Here is a 5,997-nt window from a genome sequence, read left to right as displayed (position 1 = left end):
TTATCTATATAGTCTTCTTACTAGAGATAGAGATATATTCTGACTAGAGAGTCTCCTACTGGCTTTGAAGAAAGAAGCTGCCATGTTGTGGGAGGTCCACATGGGTAGGACCTGAAGGTGACCTCTAGGAGCTGAGAGCAACTCCCATCAGATGGTCAGCAAGAAAATGGAAACCACAGTCCTACACCACAAGGGACTGAATTCTGCTAACAATCTGAATAAGCTTGGCAGAGAACCCAGAGCTCCAAATGAGAGCTGAATCTGGCTGATACCTTGATTTAAACCTTATGAGACTCTGAGCAGAGAACCTATTTAAGCCCACCCAAATTTCACCTATAGACATATTGGGTACTATTTCAAACTGTTAAGTTTGTGCTAATTTGTTATACAACAATGGAAAATTAACACAAGGAGCTATCTAAAATACTTAATAATTAGAATAATGTGGGCACTGGCCTATCTCAACAGATGCTGGTCACAAGCAATGGTGACATAGCACTGTGACTAGCTATGTCACTAGTCACTAGGTGACTAGCTGTCACCCCAAGACTGATAACACAGGCTTCATCAGCAGAGCCCACCAGAGGAGAAAGCTCTGGCTAGGCTATCAGTTCACACACTGTGTTCACTTTGCTTCTGAATAAATCTAGCCTGGTGTGGCCCTCTTTGCAGGGGGATGGTCTGTATTTTGTCTAGCATAGTAAAGCAGGGCCTCTAGAAGCATGGTATGTATGTTTTTCAGGGCATGATATGAAATGTCCCCAGAGCCCTGCCACTTAATCTAATCTTTAACCTGAGCTTTATCTTCCCCAAACCTTGGAACACCTACAAACATAGTGGCAAAAATATTAGACTTAAATGTTTTGTCTCTCAACCATGTCCTGCTTTTAGAGTCATGTGACTGTAATAGAGCAAAACTGCCCAAATGATAGAACACAGGAAAGAACAACAACAAAAGTATTTGTAGATGTAGCTCACTTCACCGCTTACTCCTTGAGCTATGCTGTCTTCTGAATTGGGTTCTTGAGCTGTCTCTTTTCATCCACTTTTAAATCTTTGATCACTGTGATATATTTGAATAGTTTCCATTCAAATTATTTTCTTCTTGCTCGTGCTTAACATGGGAAGCTGTGTCTATACTTCCCACTTGCTCTAACACAGTGCCCATCAATTCTCAGAGTTCTTTGATGATAAAGAAAAATTTCCTCAGGCATAAAGATGAAAAAAAGGGCAAGTTCAGACTTCTCTAAAGTAACACTAAATACAAAGAAAGAGAAAAAAGAAAGAAAGAAAGAGAAAGAGAAAAGAAAGAAAAAAAATCTATGAGATTCTAAGAAAGAAAAGTGATTTATGATTTTTATAAATTTCAAGTGGTTGTTTATGTATGAAAGGACTAGGCAGATATCCCTAAACATGCAGGAACTTGAGGACTATATTATTATTTTGTAAAATGTAGTTGATGAAATAGAGCCAATTGAAATATAAATTTTTTTAAACTTAGAAATGGGAGAGTTATGGTGAGGGTATTGGTATGAATGCTAAATCCATACTAATACAAAACTAAGAGAAAACTGGCAAATATTTCAGAACAGAAGGCAAATGATATATAACTTGATGTTATTAAAATAACATAATAAAATCTGGAGATGGGGCAGGATAGGTGTGTGGGTGGGAGTGCTAATTTCCTCATTTTTCAGAACAAGCAATCAATCACTATTGACTAAATTTGACACATTTAGTTAAAAAAGAACCATTATGACTCCAACTTCTTAATATTCCTCTAATTATTTCTTTCTTAAATTTATTTTATCTTTTTAGAAACAATATTTCCTATCTTAAGAATATTTATATAAAATCCAGCAGTTTTTCCTATATCTTTTTTAAGCTCATTTTAGAATACAAATGAAAAAGCAACATATTATGGTATGATACGATTTTTGTAAAATTATTTCTGCATTAATTTATCTATATATCTATCCCTCACCCATCTTTCCATTCACTCTTCTCTCTGTGTCTGAAATGAAGTTTACCTAATGTTAAAAATGATAGTTACTGGATGATACATTAAGTGTAAATCTTAAAATTCTTATCTGAACTGTGCTTAACTTCTTTAAAAGGTGTATATATCATTTTATGATAAATATTATTAATCTAAACAAAGAAGAAAAGGAAACTTACAAAGTGCTATCTCAGTTGTAATACAGCTATTTACTCAGTTAAAGGATACAACTTTACATAACATTCTAGAGTAGTCTTTACTTTTAAATCACAAATATTATTTTTTAAGGGACAGGAAATTAAGTTTAATTCCTATATTTGGCAAAAGAGAGAGACAATTTTGCTATGAAGGGCAAATCTATGATGCAAATGTTGTCCCTGCCCTTAGAATTTACTACATTCAATTTCTGTGATAGACACTCATACTTTAATGCGTGGGGATACAGAGTTCAGCTTATAGAGAACTTTGAAAGACTTCATAATTCACCTGCGTAACTGATGCAACAGTGCCTAAGATATTTTGGGCACTTCATGCATATTTGTTACTTGCAATTCAGAAAAATTAATGACTAGCATAAAGTCTTCCATATTTGAAACTGCAAACATGCCAGGAGTGGTGGCTCATGCCTGTAATCCCAGCACTTTGGGAGGCTGAGGCGGGCGGATCACTTGAGGCCAGCTGAAGACCAGCCTGGCCAACATGGCAAAACCCTGTCTCTACTAAAAATACAAGAATTAGCCAGATGTGGTGGTATGTGCCCGTAGTCCAGGCTACTTGGGAGGCTGAGTCAGGAGTATCACTTGAGCCTGGGAGGCAGAGGTTGCATTGAGCCCAGATTGTGCCACTGCACTCCAGCCCATAGAGCCAGACCTAGTCTCCAAAAAACAAAACAAACAAACAACAACAAAAAAGTAAACATATCAAATCGCCTCTTCTTCTCTCAAGTTAATATTCTTTCAGTTTTTATCTACGTTCATTCTATTCATGAATATACCTTGTGTTAGGCATCTACTGCTAAGTAGTAAATTGCCCCAAAATTTAGCAGCTTAAAATAATAGCATTTATTATCTCACACATTTTCTGAGAGTCAGGAATCTGGGAATGACTTTGCTGCATGGTTCTGCCTCAGCATCTTTCACGACATTGCAGTCAGGCTGTCTGCCATCCCTGCAGCCTCTGAAGGGGCTGTTGTGTCCACTCTGAGCTCACTCATGTGGCTGCTGTCAGCAGTCTTCAGTGCTGCCCCATATTAGTCTCTCTATGAAAAAGATCAAGAAATGGCTTTCCTCAGAATGAGTGATAAGAGGAAGAGTGGGGAAGAGAGAGAGAGAGAGAAAGACAGAGTATAGGCAAGTCAGAAAGTGCACCCAAGCCAGCAGCTGCAGTCTTTTTATAACCCAGTCTCAGATTTTTCCTCCATCACGTCATCTATATTCTGTTTGCTAAAAGTGAATCATTAAGTCCAGTCTATATTCAATAAGTGGATTAAGAATCACTTTTTAGAAACTTTTTTTTTTGTGGGTACATAGTAGGTGTATATATTTATGGCGTAATGAGATTGTTTGATACAGGCCTCCAAGATTCCTTATTTCAGTGTGAAATAAGCACATCATGGAGAATGGGATATCCATCCCCTCAAGCATTTATCCTTTGAGTTACAAACAATCCAATTATACTGTTTAAGTTACTTTAAAATATACAATTATGTTATTATTGACTATAGTCACCATATTGTGCTATCAAGTAGTACATCTTATTCACTCTTTCTATTTTTATGTGTGTGTGTGTGTGTGCCTGTTAGCCATCCCTACCTCCCCTCAGCTCCCTCACTGCCTTTCCCAGCCTATGGCAACCATCCTTCTACTCTCTATTTCCATAAGTTCAATTGTTTTGATTTTTAGATCCCACAAATAAGTGAGAACATGTGATGTTTGTCTTTCTGTGCCTGCCTTATTTCATTTAACCAGTTCAACCATGTTGTTGCAAATGACTGGATCTTATTCTTTTTTTATGGCTGAATAGTACCCTAACTCTATTTTGTGTATGTACCACATTTTCTTTATCCATTCATCTGTTGATGGATACTTAGGTTGCTTCTAAATCTTAGCTATTGTAAACAGTGCTGCAATAAACATAGGAGTATAGATATATTTTCAATATACTGATGTCCTTTCTTTTGCATATATATTCAGCAAAGGGGTTGCTGGATCATATGGTAGCTCAATTTTTAGTTTGTTGAGGACCCTCCAAACTGACTTCCATAGTGGTTGTACTAATTTACATTTCCACCAACAGTGTAAGGGTTCCTTTTTCTCCACATCCTCACCAGCATTTTTTATTGCCTGTCTTTTGATTATAAGCCAAGATTCACTTTTCAAAGGGAGGGATATCAGAGAATTTGTGGACATATCATTAAAATAACAATATTTGCCTAATCCTTCAAAACTTCTCCCTCAGTTTTTCATTTCTTTGTTTCTGTCCCTTCCTCTCTATGAAACTATTCTGGAAGATTCCTATTAATGTTCTTCTTAATTGTTCAAAGTCCTTTACCTACAATCATAATTTTTCATCTGTCTGAAGCACTAACTGCTTTCCAAATATTTGGCTCATCATTTCTAAGAGATTGCCAACTCCCTGAAAAAGTGGATAATTTCCTAAACAATGTTGTCTTCCAGACAGTATCTAGTAGAAAGAATGTTCTAAAACTCTTTAATATGAATAAATATGCCCAGTTGACCTTGAGAATACTCTTAGTTTATATTAGCTCTGTTCAAACATAAGTCAAATTATATCACATCTGTACTCAAATATGCAATGGTTCCCATCTCACTCAGAGTAAAAGCCAAAAAAGTTCTTACAGTGGCTCCAGAGTGAAACCATGCCCTAAAGAGTTAAATAAACCAATGAGTAACAGAAATTCCTGAGTTTGCAGGATGACTGATAAGAAAAACAAAACCAAAAAAAAAACCCAAAAACAAACAAACAAACAAAAACAACAACAAAAAAAACAGGGTCAGGATTTCAAGAGCAGCCTGGCCAACATGATGAAACCCCATCTCTACTAAAAATACAAAAAAAAGTAGCCAGGCATGGTAGCGGGCACCAGTAATCCCAGCTACTCGGGAGGCTGAGGCAGGAGAATCACTGGAGCCTGGGAGGCAGAGGTTTCAGTGAGCTGAGATCATGCCACTGCTCACCAGCCTGGGTGACAGAGCAAGACTCCATCTCAAAAGATAAACAAAACAAAACAAAAAAAAATAAAAAAAGAAAAGGAAAAAAAAAAACCAACTTGCTGAAACACTGAATCTCCCTCTGCTTATGAGATTAAAAAAACTGGCTGAAATCCTTTGGAACCAATGTGGCCTACTGGAGTCTGTGCAGAGCGAGCTTGCTGATGTCACAGCCCAAATTTACACCACGTTTTCTACTAACTCCCCCTGAATTTGCACATGCAACCCAGAAGTAGCATGAGGAGATAACTGCACGTGCCCAAGGCCTTTCCAGAGCTCTCCTTTCCTTCCACCAGTCACTTACTAATCTCAAAATCCACTCCCTGAACCTTTTCTAGTTAAAATATACTGCCTTGAAGCCAGCATAGGGAGATTTGAGCTTGGCTCCTATCTCCTTGAGAGTTGACTTTCAATACACAGTGTTTATTTTCTCAAAACCCGGTGTCATAGCATTGGCTTCTAGTGCATATGGCAGCAAGCTCCTTTTGCTCAATAACAAGAGGCCCTCTATTATCTGCACCCCACCCCCTCACCTCACACACCTTGTATCCGACTGCCTCACTCACTCTCAATTCCATTCATTCTGCATCTCCTGTTTATTCTTGAACACTTCAAACATTCTCTTGCTTCAGGGCTTTTGTAGAAGCTGTTTCCTCTGCCTAGGACACTCTCGCTATGTAGCCACTGACTCATTCCCTCCCTTGCTTTACATCTTTGCTCAAATGATATCTTCTCAATGAGATCCTCCTATACAGCATTTAAGATTGA

At 37.7% G+C, this 5,997-nt stretch overlaps 1 long non-coding RNA gene across 2 annotated transcripts; it reads right to left on the bottom strand.

Moving 5' to 3' along the window:
- Window positions 1-938: 938 nt before the first annotated feature.
- LOC105374058 (uncharacterized) lies at window positions 939-5,997 on the bottom strand. 2 transcript variants are annotated; one of them, XR_924378.2, is made up of 3 exons: window positions 5,772-5,997; window positions 3,073-3,257; window positions 939-1,257 (listed from the first exon to the last, which is right to left on the bottom strand). It is a non-coding gene; the product is annotated as an uncharacterized LOC105374058 (long non-coding RNA). The 2 variants fall into 2 exon arrangements; XR_007096025.1 differs by lacking the exon at window positions 939-1,257 and having other exon boundaries at window positions 3,037-3,257.

The sequence above is a fragment of the Homo sapiens genome, chromosome 3 (genome assembly GCF_000001405.40).
Source record: "Homo sapiens chromosome 3, GRCh38.p14 Primary Assembly".
Classification (NCBI taxonomy): Eukaryota; Metazoa; Chordata; class Mammalia; order Primates; family Hominidae; genus Homo; species Homo sapiens.
The sequence above is the reverse complement of the archived record's forward strand: the minus strand, read 5'-3'. Positions and strand labels throughout refer to the sequence as shown.